Here is a 21605-nt window from a genome sequence, read left to right on the forward strand (position 1 = left end):
AGTACAAAAAAAAGAATGTAGGTTGGACATGGTGGCTCATGCCTGTAATCCCAGCATTTTGGGAGGCTGAGGTGGGAGTACAGCTTGAGCCCAGGAGTTCAAGACCAACCTGGGTAACATAGGGTGACCCCTATCACTACAATAAATAATTTCCTGGTATGGTAGCACGTACCTGTAGTCCCAGCTACTCAGAGGTTGAGGATGGAGAATCATTTGAGCCCTGGAGTTCGAGGCTGCAGTGAGCCATCGTAGTGCCACTGTACTCTAGCCTGGCCAACAGAGTGAGACCTTGTCTCCCACTCCCCATCTCCCTAAAAAAAAGAATGTAAAATACCTTAATCAGTGTATTACATTGATTGCATGTTGAAGTGGTAATAGTTTAGGTAGAGTACATTATTAAAACAACTTCACCTACTTTTTTAAATGTGGATACTGGAAAATTTCAGGTTACACATGTGGCTCACGTTATATTTCTGTTGGGTAGCACCACACTGCACACTTTCTCCCTTGGGTGAAAAGAGTGTGTTCATCTTTTTTCTCCACCACCGATTTGTGAGTTCCTGAAAGGTAGACGCTGCATTCTTGACATCTTGCTGACCTTTGCAAACCTAGCTGGCACATGGCAAGGCACCAACAAAGGTATGCTGAGGGAGTGGATAAAGGAACCCAGGATGACAGGCATTTGGTCAATACAAAGCTCCCTTAGGCAGTGTAACTCCTGGGCCTGTGTTACTGATTTGCCCTTTTCTATTTTTCATAGTTTTTGTCTTTTTTTAAGGGCTCACACAGTCGACAAAAGAAAACGTTTTTCTTGGGAGATGGGCAGAAGCTGAAGGACTGGCATGACAAGGAGGCCATCCGGAGGGACGCTCAGCGCGTAGGTACGGAGGGCAGGATTGGCCATGGGTGGGCTCTGTGAAGGGCATATGCACATATGCTTGTGTGTGTGTGTGTGTGTGTGTGTGTGTGTGTTCATGTGTGTGTTTAGCAGGGGTGTCTGGACCTCCTGTTGGCTCCCTCCCTGTCAGCCACCATCCCTTCCCCTGATTCCCAGATGCCCCTCTTCACCAGTTAGCTGACCCCTTTCTCCACTGCCATCACCAGATCTGCTGCCTGCAAGAATTTGCCTGCCACCTTTATTGGGTGATAGAAAATGTCTCCCTCATAAAGGATATTTTGTATTTTATTTTTATAGGATAGAAATGTCTCTCCCTTATGAGATTACAACTAAAACAAGGAGCAGTAATAAGAGCCAGCATTTATTGAACACCTATGGTGAGGAAGATCGATGCTCTGTACTTGGAAATTTCCTCTGTGAAACCTCAGATCAACCTTTATGGCCCATTTAATAAGAAGGGGCCTGTGGCGCTAAGAGGGGTGGTAATCTGCCCACTGTTGCACAGAAAGAGAGGCAAACTTGGAATTTGAACCCAGGTCTGGAGGGAGGGCAGAGTTGATTCCTACCTAACACTGCAGCCATGAGACTGAGTCAACTTAGAGGGCTTCAGCTAAAGTTTTCTTTGGCTAATTAGTCTTGGGAGCAGTTCCGTTTACACTGGTGAGTTGGGAAGGGTTGGGGTAAGGTGGTACAGAAATTATATGGAGAATCAACTCTAGGGAGCCTGGACTAAGGAGTCAGGAGAGCAGCTCTGATGCCACTTACAGCCATCTAATCAATAGATAAAGTCCATACTCCCAGAGCCTCAGTTTTTCCATCTGTCTGTGGGACTCATGCCTCATGCTTCCTGCTTTGACAACCTCAGGATGTTATTGTGAGGGTGCCAAATAAAGCAATGAGTATGTAGTAGCTTTGCAATACTAGAAAGCACTGTAGAAATCTAAGGGATTGGTATTAATATTTTATTCATTTTTATCTCCATTAAAGCCTCCCACCACTATTGATTTTTTAAAGTTACATTATGACAAAACCAGCTTACCACAAGGCTCTGAATAGAGCTGGTGCAATAACTTAACTGATGATAAGAGAAATCTGGAGATGCCAGAAAATGAGAAGGGGGAATGGGTGCTGCTCTTTTTTTGTTTGTTTGTTTTGTTTTGTTTTGTTTTCAGATGGAGTCTCACTCTGTCACCCAAGCTGGAATTCAGTGGTGCAATCTTTGCTTAATGCAACCTCTACCTCCCAGGTTCAAATGATTCTCCTGCCTCAGCCTCCCAAGTAGCTGGGATTACAGACCTGTGCCACCACACCAGGCTAATTTTTGTAATTTTTGTATTTTTAGTGGAGTTGGGGTTTCGCTATGTTGGCCAGGCTGGTCTCGAACTCCTGGCCTCAGGTGATCTGCCCACCTCGGCCTTCCAAAGTGCTGGGATTACAGGTATGAGCCACCATGCCCAGCCGGTGCTGCTTAAATTAAGAAAGAAAACATTTGGGAAGAGCTGATTTGCCAGACATACTAGAATTATTAACACTGGGCTAACCAGCAAGACAAGAGTAACGAGCAGTGGAGACATTAATAATAATAATAACCTGCATCTGTCGAACGCTAACTATGTGCCAGGCATCTTGCCTGCATTACCTCCTTAATCATCACATCATTCACATTGAACCTTCTCATTCTAATTAATACAAAGGGCAAAATCTTCAGACTCGGAAAGGCTGAAGGCATGTCCAAGATGACATAGCTGGGGATGGTAGGGCTGGCCTTGGAACTCCACTCCATCTGGCTCCAGGGCCTGAACTCTGCATTGGTCTCCTGTACTGCCCTTCTGAAGCTTCCCTCCCTGAGCAAACACTTCTGGTCTCCTGCTTACTGTGTTTGGGTCCCTCATGTTATCTGTCCTGGGGTCTAATCCATGATGTCTTATGAAGCATTACAAGCTGCAGATGACAGAGACCTGTTTCTTGCCTGACTGGATTGGAGTAGTCAGAGCCCTTGGGCTCCACGTCTCAGCTTGCACCTTCCTGGAAATCTGACTTTGTCAATGTTTACTTTGCAGAGTAAATAGGTGTTGCTCAGTCCACAAGCTCCAGAAGGCAAGATGATTTTTAACCCGTTGATTTTATTGCCATTTCTTCAAGATCCTCACCAATGACAGATTCTTAAGCTACTATTGCAGGGGTCGATGTGGACATTCCCACTTACCATATGCACCTGGGAACCTAGAGAAAAATTTCCTGGAGTATCACACTCCTTCTCCAGATGGGTTGTGCAGAGAAAGGAAAGCTAGCACTTTAACCCACCCAAATCCATGACTCAAAGCCACACTTTTCAGGCACTCCTGGTTTAGAGTAGGCAGATCTTAATTTGTTTGCTGCCCTAAAAACAAAAATAAAATCAAAGCATCTTTCATCATTTATGGCAATTTTGATTTACTTATAAAGTTTGCCTTATCTACAGTAATCATCTTTCCTCGTGTTTATGAGGTGTTTTGTAGTTTACAAAAAGCTTTCAAATAGGCAACTCTCATTTGACTCTTTCAAGTGTGCTGTGGGTATCAGAGGAGGAAGCTTTAGCTCTGAGAGCTGGTGGGACTTGGCCCAAGATTGATCAGCTCACAGATGGTGGACCTAGCTGTCCAGTGACTGGTCTGCGAGGGCAGGGGTCTTTGGAGTTCCTGACGGAGTGAGGGGAGCATGGGTTTTGGAATCCATACTCCTGATTTGATAACCTTTCTCAGTCTCAGATTATCATTCTGTGGAATGAGAGGTCTCATGTCCACCCCGCAGAGCTGCTGTGATTACATGAGAACAAGATGTGCAAAGTGTCTGAATAAATGCTTGCTCCCCTCCTACTCTTTGTACTGAGCAAAAACTGAGCTATGCTCTATATCCAAATCAAGTTTTATCTTGGAGGTTTAATCATATTTTTCATCCTTTTTCCCCACTCCATATACAGTACCCCATACATCATTAGCAACATCGAATTTGCTCTTTGCTTCTAGGAAATGGAGAACAAGGAAGACCTTACCCCATGACCGATGCTGAGAGAGTGGATCAGGCATACCGAGAAAATGGATTTAACATCTACGTCAGTGATAAAATCTCCTTGAATCGCTCTCTCCCAGATATCCGGCACCCAAAGTGAGTGTAACATCTCTCAAATTCTGAGATCTAAGGATGTTTCCCTGGCTGTTGTTGAGAATTAATTAAGGAAGCAGGTACATGGAGCCCTGCTGACGGAGACACCCTCCTCTTTCACAGGCATTTGTGCAAAGGTTCATGGTGTTGAGGGGTAGGAGATAATACTGTCTCTCCAGATGAGCCAGCCTCCTTCCTCTTTTCAGGAGGTGGAACTATGTAGCCTCTGCATTTCCCCTTTTGCTCTGGGCTGAAGGGAAGTTCAGACCCCAGTGTAGACGACAAGTTGTCATGCAGTTTTTAACTTTCATTCTCTTCACTTTCTGTGTGATGTTTTTATTTCTTTTTAAAAAAAATCTTTCTATATATTTGTATCTTTGTTATAAACCATCTCTAATCACATTGAGAGCAGACATATCAGAATGATTATAAAGATGACAACAATGGCATCTAACATTCTTTGAACCGGTACTATGTGCCAAACGCTTTATTTGTATCATCTCAGGTTGCTGTGAGGTAGGTCCTGTAATGATGCCGATTTTACAGTGAGAAAACTGGGGCTTAAAGGAGGGTCATAACTCACTTAAGGCTATAAGTTGATTGACAGAATAAGACAGGCCTTAGACTCCAGTTCAATCAAAAACTATACTCTGGACCTTAAGTTATCCTGCCTCCCTGTACATTTTCAGTAAGGGTCATTGTGGTGATGATGGTGATTTTCTGGTAGAGCCGTTCTTAAATTTGAGGTGCGTTAGAATCACTTGGAGGGTTGTTAGACACAGGATATTGAGGCCTCAAAGCTGTTGATTCAGTAGGTCTGGATGGGGGCCCAAGAACTTCCATTTCAAATAGGCTCCCTGGGGATGCTGGCGCTGCTTATCTTGGGACCACACTTTGAGAATCACTGCAAGTAGATTTCAGAATTGCTTCTACATGAAGGCAGTACTGAGTAGCACTGGAATATAAGTTTTGCTCAGGGACTAACAAAATAGAGCCCAGGAAAAGATAATAAAAGCTAACATTTATTAGTTGCTTACTGTATGCCAGGCATTTTTCTAAGCCAGTGGTTCTCAAAGTGTGGTTCCCAGACCAGCAATATCAGCATCACCTAGGAATTTGGTAGACCTGCAGATTCTTGGGCCCCAGCCCAGATTTACCAAATCAAAGCTATGAGGAAGGGTCCAGCAATCAGTGTTTTAACAAGGCCTCCAGGAGATTCTGATGCATGCTTGCATTTGAGAACCACTGTTTCAGGTATTTTAAGTATATTAACTCAGTCAAATCTTCTAAAATCCCTGTGAGGTTATTATAACCATTTCATAGATGAGGAATTGAGGCACAAAAAGATTAAGTAATTTGCATAGGATGACATAGCTGAAAAGAGATGGAGCCAGAATTTGAACCCAGGGAGTCTGGCTCTAGAATCTGTGGTTTTAATCACTGAACCATAAAAGTCTTTCCACCTATAAGATCTCAATCAGTAGAATGCAGTGCTAAAGACTTCATCTTGGTAACATGTTTGGCAGCTTACAAAATGCCTTCATTCCCATAACCTCCTTTAGTTCCTACAACAATACTTTGAGGTTGGCATTACCATGATCATCTCTACTTTGTAGATGTAAAAGATGTGCTGTCACCTAGGATTGGGCCCTTTTCCCAAAGATGCCTGACAGCGAGGGAACAGAGGAGGGGCCTCACTGTGCTTTCCCACGGGCTTTGCCATTTGTTTCATGGTTTTCACTGTCAAATCCCAGATTTTTTTTTTTTTTTTTTTTTGAGACAGGGTCTCGCCCTATCACCCAGGCTGGAGTGCAGTGGCACGATCTCAGCTCACTGCAACCTCTGCCTCCTGAGCTCAAGCAATCCTCCCATCTCAGCCTCCCGTGTAGCTGGGACCACAAGTGTGTGCCACCACTGCTGGTGAATTTTTTGTATTTTTGGTAGAGACAGGATCTCGCTATGTTGCCTAGGCTGGTTTTGAACTCCTGGACTCAAGTGATCTTTCTGCCTCAGCCTCCCAAAGTGTCGGGATTGCAGATGTGAGCCACCGTGCCTGGCCAAGCCCTAGATTTTTTCATGTAAGTCTAGACTGTTTGTAGTTCAGCTATGACAGATGTTACTGGATTTGGAACTGTAACCTGACTCTGAGGGTCAAAAACTCAATGTATGTGTTTAGCTCCTTGCAGGGTTCCAAATTCTGCACTAATTTCATCTTTCTGAATCTAGGAAAGAAGTTCACCTGGGGAGTTCATTCATTGTTCTCTCACCGCAGCTGCGGTTCTTGTGGTACTGTGGGTTCTCAACCCTGGCTGCACCTGGATGGTTTTTTAAACTACAAAGGCCAGGACCCCACCCCAGACCACTGAAATCTGAATCTCTGAGGTTGTTACCTGGATCTCAGTATTTTCTAAGATCTCCAAAAGCAATTCTCACGTATAATGAGGGTTGAGAATCACTGGTGTGCAATGAAGAATATTTCTGCAGTGAGAGAGAGAGACAGGCTGGGTGTGGTCACAGCTTTCTTCCATTCTTTCATCTATTCATAGTATATATGTAGGTCTTCTATGTGCCAAGCCCTGTGCTTGACACTAGGATCACAAGGATAAATGAATCATTAGTGTTGCCTCAAAGGAACTCCCACTCTTCTGCAAGGGGTGGGGATGGATGACATGAGCTGGGCATTACACCATAGTTGAGAAGATCAATAATAGGGTTGGGCACAGGGTGCTTTGTGACCACAGAGGATACCCCTGACCCTGTGTCTGCAGTTTAAGAGCTAGGAAGGCCTTCCGGAGGGGTGCTATCTACAGCCTCTGAAAGGAACAACTAGGGCTAGCCAGGGGATGGGGATGAGCAAGAGCATTGTGGGTAGAGAGAGTGGCCTGGCCAGAGGCCTCCAGGCAAAACAGCACATGTTCTCTGGCTTAGGACTTAGGAAGTGGAGCCAGGATGAGGACCTAGCCCCTTTGTCTCCCATTGTAGTGCTCTTTCCTGACAGTCCAGAAAAAGAAACCTCTTTTTCATCGAAGAGTCCTGGGATCCACAGATGTGTCCCTCAATAGAATTCAGGGGAGTCTGTGAAGTTGGATGAGAAAAACGTTGAATTTTTTAAAAAAATTAACCTTTATCTGAAATTTCGTGTTCCCTTCAGTTGTGAATGTAGGCAACAAAGCCCTGTGATGTCCCCCAAGGAAAGCATTTGCTTTCACATCACTTACAGACCTCTTGAATCCCATGGACACTCATCACTACTTTGAAATGGAGGTAGTTTTTATAACTACCACTGATCTTTTTTTTTCTAGATATTTACTTTTTAATTTTAATTATCATGGCTATATAATGATTGTATATATTTATGAGATACATGTGATGTTTTGATATGGGCATACAATATGTAATGATCAAGTCAAGGTAATTGGGAAATCCATCACCTCAATAATTTATCATTTCTTTTACCACTAGATCTTGTTGCTTCTTGTTTTTTTGTTTTTTTTTTTTTTTGAGACAGGGTCTTGCTATGTTGCCTAGGCTGGTCTCAAACTCCTAGGCTCAAGTGATCCTCTTGCCTCAGCCTCCTGAGGAGCTGAGATTACAGGCAAAACCTCATCACATTTGGCTTTGAATAAATTTTGATAACTATATTTCAGTCTAATTGGTTTTCTTTAAAATCTGGTACATTTTATGTATTATGAGCATTGCTCTGAGAAGTGTCCACAGGCTCCCCCAGCCTGGCAGATGGACCTCTGGCATCAATAAGCTGTGGAACTCCTGTTCCAGGTGGGTGGGAGTGGAGCTAAGGAGGCCTTAGATACCTCTGTCACCAGCCCACCCACCCAGCCAGCCAGCCAGCATCCAAGTTACTAACTGCAAAAGATGTCACTACTGCCAGCGCTCCTGACACCCCCCTTTTTTGGAGTCACCAAGTGTGGAAGCTGACTTTTCAGAAATGAGTTGACAGATGTCTCGAAGAGATTTCCTTTTTTTCCAGAGGGGAATCTTTCCTGCAGTTTGACAGCAGAAATGTGTGAGTAAATTAGAGCAGTCGAGCCGCTCACTCCATTCAGTTTCTTTTAGCTTAAACAACTTCTCCAGCAGGAGCTGAGGTTTATGTTTGCCTTTTGTTCCTTCAAACTGAATTTTGGCAACAGCATGTCAAGAACAAGATTGAGGGGCTGTTTGTTTGTGCCAGCTGCCTTTGCTTCCACCAGAAGCTGCACTGGGGACTGCGTAGCCAGAGAACGGAAGCGAGGCAGTTTGGCCCAGACTCACTGGACCTGCAAATGGGAGTCAGCCAGCTGGCTCTGAGTGGGCCTGCCCTCTGCACCTCCTGCCAAGTGAGCGTGAACAGTGGCTGGCTGGTGGGCTGGCCCACTTTCCCTACTCCCTGGGAGCCCTGCTGGGCTGCTTGGCAACTGAGCGTGGAGGCCCCTCCAGAGCACAGGGCTGATGGCACAACAGAGACCCAACTGCTAAAGTGCCTGGGATCTGCAGTTTCCGGTGCAAACCCCAGGTTAGGTGGTCAGTTTCTCCTATGCAAAGATTATCCATGGATATCCAGGATATCCAGAGATATCCTGACCTGCTTTCTCCATTCCATAGTTTTAGCTTCACAATGAATGAACCTGTGTTGCAACAAAAGGCCCAAGTCTACCAGATCCCTCCTTCCATGTTCCTTTTTGCTTTGTCCTTTTTGTTAAATTAACACAGTTAATTTATGACATATACTAAATGTCCTCAAAAGAACTTATAAGCTCATATTACTATAATAGTCCCGTATTATATTGAGTACCTTTACATCCCTAACAGGCTACAAAGTGTAATAGAAGCAAGAAGGAAGGGAGTTATCACCTATTACCTTTGACAAACATGTATTAAAAAATGACAACTTGCCAACACAGGAAGTTTAAGTCAACCACATTTATTGTAGTAATAATATAATAGTGCCCCAATTGGAACATACACATAGGTATAAAATCACATTTGGGCCAAGATGAAGTAAGATAAGTTTTCCCTTCTGCCTAAACAACACCCCCCACCCAAAAAAAAAGGCCAGGCAAAATACATGAAACACTGGTTTTTAAGACACTGGACATCAGGCAGTGAAGAACAATAATTTCTAAGAAATTGAAACAAATGAGGTGAGCCCTATAGTTGCCCCAGCTTATTGCCTTTGGAGAATTTCCAGGCCATGGTACAGGGAGGGCAAGCCCAGATAGAGCCCAGAAGACTTACTGAGTTGAGGAAGTGGAGCTGAGAGTCCAAGGAGATCAAGAAGGCTATAGTTCAGAGGACACAGTACTGGAGACAGGAGAGCTGTGCAAAGAGAGACCTACAGAGATCTACAGAGTCCTCTCAAACACTCAGTGGATTATTGATCAGCACCTGCCGTGAGGAAGCTATCTGAGGCTGGGAAAGGAATCACCCTAAAGGGCTTTAGGGAACAGTGCATAGTGCTCACTCAGGGCCAAAAATAGTTCCTCTTCCCACCACCCAGACTGGAAAACCTCCTAATTCATAACTCATGGGGAATCAGGTAGAGTACTTAGAAGAGTTTTGCCTTAGTGGCATCTAATCAGCCCTAGACTAAACAGTGCTCTGGACCAGTCTAAAAATATCATAAATTATTACCCAAAAGGATCAAACTGTTTCCAAATATATAATGCACCCAGAACAAAGCTTGATAATACTTACATCAATACATAAATATTCACTACTAAGCAATGTGAAACCCAATCAAAGATTATCAGGTATGCAAAAAAGTAGAGAAACATGACCCACAGTGACAAGTATAATCACTCAATCAACCAACCCAGGGTAGACACAGATATTAGAATTAGCAGAGTTAATTGTAACTGTATTTCATATGTTTAAAAAGTTAGGTAGAGATACGGAAGATATAAGAAGATCCAAATCGAAATTCTAGAAATGAAATCAACAATGTCTAAAATGAGAAATATACTGAATGGGATTAATGGCATAGATATTGCTGGAAAAAAAAGATTAATGAACTTGAAGATGTAGCAAAAGAAACTACTCAAAACACAGAAAAAGATTTTAAAAATTGAAAAGAGGTTCAATTACCTGTGGGTCAAGTTTAAAAATTCTAATATTCATGTAATTAGGGTGTGTGTAAGGAAGTAATGGCTGAAAGTCTTCCAAATTGGATAACAACTGTAATACCACATCCAAGAAACTCAGTGAAACACAAGCTCAAGAAATACAAAGAAAATGACATCAAGGCATGTTATAATCAAATTACTAAAAAACCAGTGATGAAGAAAAAAATGTCAAAGCAGCCAGAGAAATAAAGCATGTTATATAGAGAGGAACAATGATAAGAGGAGAATTCTTGTTGTAAACAGTACAAAGAAGAATATGGTGTAGCAACATCTTTAAAGTACAGAAATGTCAGTAAACTATGGTTAGTAAGAAAAAAATAAGGTATGGAAAGAGAAAACTCTGTCAACTTAGAATTCTGTACCCAGTGAAAATATCTTTTTTAAAAAAAGATACTAGCTACAAATAGAGATCTTTATTTACAAAATATGAAGATCACTAGAAATAGTAGCTTTGTGGGTAAATATATGCTATTTGTCTTATTGTTTAAATCTTTTAAAAGATAATTGACTGTGTAACCAAGAATAATAACATTACTGGATTTAAAACATGTGTAAAATAAAATGTGTGCCAACATAAAGATTGAAGGGGAGAAATGGTAATCTGGTATCGTAAGGTTCTCATAGTACGTATGAAGTATACAATATCATCTGAAGGTAGACTGATGAGTTAAAAACATACTATAAACCCTAAAGCAAGCACTAAAATAACAAAACAGAATTATAGCTAATAAGCCAACAGAGGAGATAAAATGAAATCATAAAAAGTAATCCAAAATATGGCAGAAAAAGCAAGGAAGGGAATCAAAATCACAAAGGAGAAATAGAACTGGGTGCAGTGGCTTGCACCTGTGATCCTAGCTACTCAGCAGGCTGAGGCAGGAGGATCGCTTAAGCCTAGGAGTTTAAGATCAACTGGGCAAGACCCCATTTCTAAAATTAAAAAAATATATATTAGCCAGGCATAGTGGCATATGTTTGTAGTCCCAGCTACTTGGGAGGCTAAGGTGGGAGAATCACTTGAGCCCGGAAGTTTGAGGCTGCAGTAAGCTATGACCGTGCTACTGCACTCCAGCCTTAGTGACAGAGCAAGACCTCATCTGTAAAAAAAAAAAAAAAGAAGAAGAAGAAATAGAAACTACCAAAATGATGGACTTTAACCTGACCATATCAATAATCACATTAAATGTAAATGCTCTAATTATTCTGGTTAAAAGGTGGAGATTGTCAGATTGGATAAGAAAACAAGATTCAAATACATGCTCCCTGCAAGAAACACACTTTAAATGTAGAGATACAAATAAGTTAAATGTAAAAGACAGAAAAGATATACCATGCTAACACCAGTCAAAAGAAAGCTGCAGAGGCAATATTAATATCAGTCAAAATAGATTTCAGAGCAAAGAATATTACCAGGAATAAAGAAAGTTATTCATAATAAAAAAGTAATTCATAAGGAAGACATAGCAATCCTAAATGTTTATGTACTTAATCAGTGAGCTTCAAAATACATGAAGCAAAAACTGATAAAACTATAAGGAGAGGCCGGGCACAGTGGCTCTCACCTGTAATCTTAGTACTTTGGGAGGCCAAGGAGGGCGGATCACCTGAGGTCAGGAGTTCCAGACCAGCCTGACCAACATGGTGAAACCCTGTCTCTACTAAAAATACAAAAATTAGCCAGGCATGGTGGCACGTGCCTGTAATCCCAACTACTCAGGAAGGTGAAGCAGGAGAATCACTGGAACCTGGGAGGCAGAAGCTGCAGTGAGCCGAGATTGCGCCACTGTACTCCAGCCTGGGTGACAAAGCGAGACTCCATCTCAGAAAACAACAACAACAACAAACTATAAGGAGAAATTTAAAAAGCCACAATTATGAGATTATGAGATTTCAACACCTCTCTCTCAATAATTGGTAATACAGATAGACAGAAAATCAGCAAGGATATAGTAGACTCTCACAGCACTGTCAACCAATATGACCTAATTGACATTTATAGAACACTCCAACCAATAAGAGCAGAATACACATTCTTTTCAAGTGGATATGAAACATTTACCAAGATAGATTATATTTTGGGCCAGAAAACAAGTCCTCATAAATTTAAAAGGATTCAAGTGATACAAAGTATCACTCTAACCACAATGAAATTAAACTTAGAAATCAATAACAAAATAATCCTTTTAAACTTTCCAAACGATTAGAAAGTATATTACTTACATGTAAATAACAGATGGGTCAAAAAAGAAATCAAAAACAAAATTAGAAAGTATTATTAACTGAATGATAATGAAAACACAATATATCAGAATTTGTGGAATGTCACTAAACTACTACATAAGGGGAAATTTGTAGCATTAATGCCTATGTTAGAAAAAAAGAATGGTCTAAAATTGATGACATCAACTTCCACTTTCAGAAACTAGAAAAAGAAGAGCAAATTAATCACAGTAAACAGAAGAAAGGATGTGAAAAAGGGCAAAGCAGGGATCAATGAAACAGAAAATCAAGGAAACCAAAAGCTGGTCAAAAAACAACAACAACAACAAAAAAAACTTAGGAGAAATTTAAAAAGCCACAATTATGAAATTATGAGATTTCAACACCTCTGTCTCAATAACTGGTAATACAGATAGACAGAAAATCAGCAAGGATATAGTAGACTCTCACAGCACTGTCAACCAATATAACCTAATTGATATTTATAGAACACTCCACCAATAAGAGCAGAATACACATTATTTTCAAGTGGATATGAAACATTTACCACTTTGAAATGGTCAATTAAATTGATTAACATCTAACCAGCTAGAAAAAGAGAAAAAGAAGACAAAAATTACCAATATCAGGAATGAGAGAGATGACATAACTATAGATTCTATAACTATTAAGAGAATAATAAAGGAATATTCTGAACAACTTTGTGCCAAAACATCTAACAGCTTCGCTGAAATGACAGATTCTTTGAAAGACACAAACTGCCAAAACTCACTTAAGGAGAAACGATCAACCTGAATAGTCCTATATCTATTGAAGAGATTGACAGTGTAGTTAAGTACCTTCCCATAAAGAAAACTTTAGGCCCAGATGGGTTCACTGATGAATTATTTCAACAATTTAAGAAATAATTCTGGCCGGGTGTGGTGGTTCACGCCTGTAATCCCAGCTTTGTAATCCCACTTTGGGAGGCCGAGGTGGGCAGATCACGAGGTCAGGAGATTGAGACCATCCTGGCTAACATGGTGAAACCCCGTCTCTACTAAAAACACAAAAAATTAGCCAGGCGTGGTGGCAGGCGCCTGTAGTCCCAGCTACTCGGGAGGCTGAGGCAGGAGAATGGCGTGAACCCAGGAGGTGGAGCTTGCAGTGAGTCGAGATCGCACCACTGCACTCCAGCCTGGGCGACAGAGTGAGACTCCATCTCAAGAAAAAAAAAAAAAAGAAATAATTCTATACAAATTTTTCCCCAAAATTAAAGAGGACGGGGTACTTTCCAACTCACTGTAAAACCAGCATTATCCTGATACCAAAATCAGACAAAGATATTACAAAAAAAGAATTTTACAGACCAATATCCCTCATGAATGGGTTGGGCAGGTGGTATCATCGTCATTATTCACTTTTCTTCAGGTCAGCAACTAGAAGATCAAAGGATAAAGAGGTGTGCCAAAGTCACACAGGTACACCCTGAGCAGGGTTGTATGTTTAGTGAAAAATAATAACAATAAAGTATGAAAAGAAAAACCTAGAATTCTATACCCAGTGAAAATATCTTCCAAAAAAAAAAAGATACCAGATAGAAATAGAGATCTTTATTCACAAAGAATAAAGATCTCTATTTCTATCTGGTATCTTTTTTTTTTATTATTTCTGTCTGGTATCTTTATTCACAAAGAATAAAGATCACTGCAAATAGTAGCCACGTGGGTAAATATATGCTATTTTTCTTATTGTTTAAATCTTTTAAAAGATAATTGTGGGGTAGAATGTAGTTGGAAAGGGATTTGTTACCATGGTTTGCCAACCATTGCGGCATTCAAAACACCCAGATAAAATGGTGGGGAATCAGAAGGAGGGAGTGGACTGTGAGGGAATAGCATCCTGGGCCTAGCAGAGCTGGTGGCTGAGGTCCTATTCAGGGACCACCCACTTGCCCCCATAATAATGTGGCCTTGGTGATGCTGAGTTTGGCTCGAGGAGTAGAAAACTTGATGTTCATAAATATTCCCATAGCAGAAAGGAAGTCTTCTCGAATGGTGATGTAAGCCTGGGGCAAGAAAGGGCAGGGATGTAACAAGAATTGAGCTTTCCTGCCCCACGTGGCATCACCAGCTGTGCATCCCTGTCGGAGACCCTGAGAACTAGGAGAAGCTGTTGGCAGAGCTGCTGCCTGTGCTCTCGGGCTCCTGCTTTGCATGCCCACCCAACTGACGTATCCAGAGCTAACTAGATCAGGAACTTTATCTACGGTAACTGTGTGTTTGTTATGGGCTCCTTTCTACCCTTCCACCTCCAGTCTGCAGCTCATCTGAAATGCAGCCAGCCCTTACTCAGGCTTATTATGCTAAAATGATCAAGAGATAGTCCCTGTCTTGAAGAGATTTCAAGCATATTAGTCACTTAAAACTGTCTCTGAAAGCCATTTATTCATTCAGCAAATATCTATTGAGTGTCTATTTTGTGTGCTTACTGTATGGCCTAGGTCCTAGGGAATCAGCAATGAGCAAATAGTCAAAATCTCCTTCCCTCCTAGAGCTTACATTCCACTGGGGGTAGGGGTGGGAGAGTCATAATATAAACAAACAAATAAATGGATTGATTTTTTAGATAGCAATAAGTGATGTGGGGAAAAAAGATTAACAGGATAAAGGGTAGAAAAAATAATAAGAATGGGGTAGATTTTATTTCAGGGGTCAGGGAAGTGCTGTCAGATAAGATGGCATATGAACAGAGCTATGAAGTGGTGAGAGGCCTAGCAGGAAAGTTGACCAGGGGAAGAGCACTGCAGGCAGAGGAAACAGCAAATGCAAAGGCCCTGAGACCACTGTGCCTGGCTTGTGGAGGCCAGTGTGGCTGGAGCCTGATGATGTGAATGATGAGAAGTTAGGCTGGAGAGGTGTCTGGGTGGTGGTCGGGTTGTAGTGGGGCTGGAGCTTTTCCCAAAATGACTAAGACGGGATGCCACTGGAAGGTTTTGAACAGAGAGTGACATGATCTGATTTTCATGTTAAAAGGATCACTTTGGTTGCTATTTTAAGAATAGACTGTAGGCAGCCAAGGGTGGAAGCAGGGAGACTAGTTAGGAGTATGTTAACAGCAAGGCAGGGGAGCGTGAGAGTGAGTCAGTCCACAGTAGGAGTAGTGGAGTAGCCATGGCTGAATTCTGGACATACTTGGAAGGTGGAGATGGAGGTGCCAGGATTTACTTACAAGAATGTGGATATGAGAATAAGAGAGAAGCCAAGGATAATGCCAAGGTTTTTGGCCAGAGCAGCTGGGGAGATGGAGTTGCCATCTGCAGGAATGGAGATGACTTTGGGAAGAGCAATTTTGGGGAAAATCACGATTTTGATTGCAGACAAGTTTGCGACACTGTTTCACATCCAAATGTCAATGTCAAGTAGGCAGTTGAATAAATGATCTCATTTGTGTTGTGAAAAATGGAAATAGTGACAAGATTTTTTTCTGAGTTGCTGTGTTTTTATTGTGGTTTTAATTAACTCACCTTCCTAGAATATCAGGAAATGCCTGAGGCATAACAGATAGTAAGCCTAAAAATGACCCAAGACCGGACGTAGTCTGTGGCGTGCAGTGTAATGGAGTTTGTGGTCAGCGTTCAGGTTATGGCGAGAGCGGTACCCATAACCTTCCACCCTTTTTGTTGGGAATGAATGACGGGAGTCTGCACCCGCCCCCACCCCATGGTGCAGAGTGGCTTGTCAGACCCTCCATAGAATAGAGACAGGCTTCAAAGACTATTTAGTACTTATTAGCAGTTTTTACCCTTTTTATCATGATTCATGTGGTAGAGCAAGCTCGCCTGACACCTTTATAATGGAGTACTTCAGTATAAGATTAGTGCCCCAGAGATACTCAGAGTTCAAGAGCAATGCAGCCTCCCTGTTTTGGTAGGTTGTTAGCGAGGCTGTTGTGGGAGGGGAGGGCCTGTAGATGGAATGATTTGTAAGCTGGGAAAGGAAAAAATCTAGGTTTTTCTTTTTTTGGACCATCACTGGGTTTTTTTTGTTTTTTTTTTTGTTTGTTTGTTTGTTTGTTTGTTTGTTTTGTTTTTGAGACAGAGTCTCGCTCTGTCATCCAGGCTGGAGTGCAGGCGTGATCTCGGCTCACTGCATCCTCCACTTCCTGGGTTCAAGCAATTCTCCTGCCTCAGCCTCCCAAGTAGCTGGGATTACAGGCGCATACCACCCACCACACCTGGCTAATTTTTGTATTTGCAGCAGAGACAGGGTTTTACCATGTTGGCCAGGCTGGTCTGGAACTCCTGACCTCAGGTAATCCGCCCACCTCAGCCTCCCAAAGTGCTGGGATTACAGGCGTGAGCCACCGTGCCTGGCCACATCACTGGTTTTTTAGGAGACTTAAATCAGCTCTTCTCCTTTGAAATTAAATGACTCCCTTCTGAACAGTGGTGTTTCTTCCACGATAACAGTTATTGATCCATTGGACCTAATATTGAGATTTAAAGGTGCTCATATACCTTAAAATAAAATGCAGCCAATAACATTTCTTACATTGACTTCTTTTCTCTAATTTTTAAAAGAGTTCAGTGAATTCAGCCCTGAAGTTGAAATTGTGAAGATAAATAATCTACAGCAAAATGGCTGCCTATCAACTAAAAATTATATGGGCATCTACTCCCTACAATTTATGCTAGATAAAAGCCACTTACATCTATGTGACTGGATGTGTGGCTTGTTTTCTTTTTATTATTTCTGCAAACAGATGCATTTTCTGAGTCTTCTAGAAATGGATGCTGTGTTCTCCATTAATAACAACATGTACCATTTGTCGAGTGCTCCTATTTATTTATCGATGTACCGGGCATTGTGCTGAACACATTGCCAGTTGTATCTTACTTGTTCCTATTCAGAATTGTTGTGTGATGATGATTTATTTCTTTTATACTCAACATTGTCTTCTGGTTTACAAACTGTTACAACTATTTTGTGGTTTAGCCTCTCTGCAATTGTGTCAAATGGGGAACATCACTAGCTCCATTTTACAGATGCACAAACTAAACCTCAGAGAACCTCAGCCCTTTGTTCCAGTTCACACTGCTAGTAGAAGGCAAAGAAGGCTCGACCTAGATCCAAGCCTGTGTTTTTTCTATTGCATCATACACAGACTGAGACCTGAGACCTGAGACCTGAAACCCGTGTCTCACAGAGAATGGAGACTTTTTTTTTTTTTTTTAAGACAGATTCTCACTCTCTTGCCCAGGCTGGAGTGCAGTGATGCAATCTCAGCTCACCGCAAATTCTGCCATTCAGGGTGAAGCAATTCTCATGCTCAGCCTCTCGAGTAGCTGGGACTATGGGCACACGCCACCACACCAGGCTAATTTTTGTATTTTTAGTAGAGATGGAGTTTCACCATGTTGGCCAGGCTGGTCTCAAACTCCTGGCCTTGAGTTGATCTGCCCACCTTAGCCTCCCAAAGTGCTGAAATTACAGGCATGAGCCACCGTACCCGGTGGAGGGAAACGTTTTTAAATCTGAATCCTCTGTCCATGAAGGTACTTGGACCAGGCCTAGTGAGTGGTATTTGCTACATAAATCCAGCAAACACAACCAGCCGACTCCTCTGCATGCATCGCATTCACCATGCAGAAGGTAATATGTTCTTGTCCAGGAGCAGATAAATAGCATTCAGCAAAATTGGTTACAGAGATGAGTTTGATTTCTAAGTGGTGTTGGCCTTGAAAGGGTTTAAGCAAAAAGAAAATAATGACTGGAAGATAAGAGTGATTATCAGTTCTCTCCCTTCATTAAGATGGTATCAAGGGCAGTGTGATGATAAGACAAGCAGAACAGCTTAGCTTAGGAGCACTGTTACATAGAAGAGAACATAGTTCTTTCTTGATTGGAAGCCTCCTTCTCCACACCTTTCAGGGGAAGAAATCAATAGTCCCTCTCCCCTCTCTATCCCCCCACTTTACGCTCCAATCCTAAGTCTGCCTGGGTAATGAATTGTAACAGTTTAGTAGCTTTCTATAGTTTTTTCTTTGCTTATACAGTATATAGAGACATATGAATGGGGCTTAGGGTTTTGTTTTGTTTTATAAAAATGTGGTTGTACTATTGTGTTTTATTCTACAAGTACTTTTTTCACTTAATATATTGTGGTCACATTTTAAGATATTTCTAATAGCTGTGTAATATTCCATAGGAATATAATTTAGTCAACAGTTCCTCTGTAGACAGACATACAGGTCATTTCCAGGTCCTTGCTTCTGGAAAAAGTGTGGCAAAAAACATCCTGGAACACATATCTTTACATTTTTATTTCTTCTTTTCTCCTCTTTTATGAATCATCAAGAAACTTGATATTAAAGTCCATTTCCTTCTAAGGAATGTTTGCCTGGCAGCTGGCAGCTCACTGGGATGTGAGGTGTGGTCCTTAGGGTTATTTTGTGCCTTGCACACCATATTCATCCATTAGAGTTCCTCTTTCCTGCTGTCATCCTTGGTTTAAAGCTTGAGTATGTGGAATATATTGCATGTTACATCTGTAGGAGGGCCAAAAATTTTATCATGTGGGACAGCAGTGTGAAGAAACTGTCACTAGATTTTTTTAAAATGTTATTGTTAGGCTGGGTGCGGTGGCTCATGCCTTTAATCCCAACACTTTGGGAGGCCGAGGCAGGTGGATCACTTGAGGTCAGGAGCTCGAGACCAGCCTGGCCAACATGGTGAAACCACATCTCTACGAAAAATACAAAAATTAGCCGGGCGTGATGGTGAGTGCCTCATAGTCCCAGCTACTTAGGAAGCTGAGGCAGGAGAATTGCTTCAACCTGGGAGGCAGAGGTTGCAGTGAGTTGAAATCACATCACTGCACTCCAGCCTGGGTGACAGAGCGAGACTCTTGAAAAAAAAAAAAAGGTACTGTTTTTATAACCATCTTAAAACTAGATATGACCTAAATAAAACAGTTCCCAAAATGTAAGTTCAAAAGGAAGGAAAAGAAAGCACAAACCAAGATCCTTTAAACACTCCTTGTACCTGAAATCTCTGGTCCTAGTCAGGGGGTGCACAACTAGTGGCAAACTGATACTGCTGAGGTTTATAATTAACAATATGAATAATAAGAATAAACCTCTGTGTGTTTCTTAGCTGTCTGTTGAACAGGGACTAGCAGGTGGGTTTGGCTGGCTCTCAGCAAAGCATCCCCTGAATGGCAAAGGGCTTTCATAAAGATGTCAGCCTTGGCACACGTTGTCAAGTAATCTTTTGGGTCCTTTTATTCCAGTCAGACTGTGTTAAAGAGAAAGCTCATGTCTGTCTCATCCCCGAGAGGAGGGTAGAGAAGGGCTGGAGAGCTGAGCCTGAGCCTTGAGCTGAGGAAAGAGGCTTACAATCAGTATGTGTCAGGAGAAGGCCTAAGTCTGCAGCTCGAGGGAGGATGGGGGAAAGGGAACAGGGACTTTTCACACTCTACCCACTAAGACTCAGTTTCTGCCTCTTATTCTGGTGGAGCTGTCTCTGACTTCCACTTAGTCAGTTTCTTGATGGCTCCAAGACGACTGGACATAGTCTTTCTGAGAATGTTATATTTTAAGGGACTGTCCTTTTTGCAGAATAGAGAGGAGAAAATCCTAGAATTTTGAACTTACACCATTTGCTGGAAAATGACCTATACCGTGGCCTCTGTAAAGTGGAAACTAAATTTACATTCCAGATGCTGTACCAGGTGCATTCACATATGGCACCTCTTTTATTCCTTGTGACAGCCTTAACAGGAAGGATGTATTTTACCCAAGAGGAAACTAAGTCTCAGGGAGGTTATGACTTTCCCAAGGTGACCCAGCCACTAAGTGACAGACATGGATTTTGAACCCAGATCTGAGTGTCTCTTCAGCCTATCCATTTCCCTCACCACACCTGTAGTTGCATCCCAAGGAAGTGCCCTTCCTAGAATTCTTACCCTTGGACCAAGGGCCACTGTTTGAGATGTGGATATGCTGTCTCCCTCTGTGACCCTGGGAAGGTCCCTCCTCATTCTAGACCTCAGTTTCCTCATCTTTAAACCAAGGAGCACAAATGATATGAGAGTCAGGCTTTCCAGACTTAATATTCATTGCTTCTGATTGGCCTTTCAGGTTAAAGCTCCGTATGTGGCCTGGGAATGGTAGTTGGCTTTCTGCCTTGGTCCTCAACCCAAAGAGATGCTGGCGTCTGCCTATCTGCCTCCCCGCCTCCCACAACATACAAACCAGCTCCCAACCAGCTCCATCTCGTTAAGGGAAAATCCAAAATTGTCATCTGCTTGGCAAAGGGGGGTATGTTGGATTTGGTTACCATGTGAAAGTGCTAAAGTGGTACCCCTTTCCAGAAGATGATTGTTTATCTAGGAGTCCAAGCACTAAAAGCTTTCAAACAAGAGTCACTTGACAATTTTTAAAATGATAATTTCCTTAAAAAAAAAAGACTGAAATTGCTGAAGAGTAATTTGCCACAATGTGCAGAGCATAGAGATGGTGAAGTGCTGTGAACTACAAGTAATTGCTCTTAATGTCATGATGGCCCAGTTGGTTCAGTGTTGATAGGGCCTTGCAAATCGTGTAGAACAACAACAGTGTGTCCTAGCAGTCTCAGTGTCTATGACCTGGAAGTCCAGGTTTCCATATTAGTGGTACTTCTGAAGTTTAGAAATCTTAACTCTAAAAGAATCCAATTATTTTCACAATCAAAAAAAAATAAAAATAATTGATTCAGCTGTAGTACAACTTTTGGATGCTTACTCTTGGTTTTTTAATCCAGGGAACAGATTTAGAGATAGGACAGAATTCCTTGGCTTCATGGTTACCTCAGCTAATGGAGTATCCCATGCAAGGAATCACGGGCAATAGAGGGAAATGGGAATGTTTTCTAGGTGGAATGTGAGAAAGGCCACACAGCCAAGCCCCGCAGGGGAAGGAGGTGGAGCCACGGCACAGACAGGCCTCTTAGTGCCTGAAAGGGGAAATTTTTCCAAGGCTGGCCTCCAGGTTCTCTTATGATCTCCTCAGCACCAGGAATTTCTGGATTCCACCATTAAGAGGCCTTAGCTCTCCTCTGTGTAGCTCTGTCTGCTCCCCTCATTAGCTCTGTGACATTCTTTCCATACATCAAGGTTGTGTCCTCAAGAAAGAGAATTTGATTGGTCTGGTGAGCCTCATTTGGGCACAGATTTCTTGCAAGGCCATTGACCCCTGGCAAGTCAAT

General features: G+C 42.1%; 1 protein-coding gene across 1 annotated transcript in view; it reads left to right on the forward strand.

Moving 5' to 3' along the window:
* Window positions 1-21605, forward strand: part of GALNT10 (polypeptide N-acetylgalactosaminyltransferase 10) — a 230252-nt gene that overhangs the window by 103305 nt on the left and 105342 nt on the right. The window contains exons 2-3 of the mRNA NM_198321.4: window positions 779-881; window positions 3904-4042. Coding sequence (NP_938080.1) covers window positions 779-881; window positions 3904-4042 — 242 coding nt within the window. The remainder of the gene's footprint in view (window positions 1-778; window positions 882-3903; window positions 4043-21605) is intronic.

Source organism: Homo sapiens, chromosome 5 (genome assembly GCF_000001405.40).
Source record: "Homo sapiens chromosome 5, GRCh38.p14 Primary Assembly".
In the NCBI taxonomy this organism is placed as follows: Eukaryota; Metazoa; Chordata; class Mammalia; order Primates; family Hominidae; genus Homo; species Homo sapiens.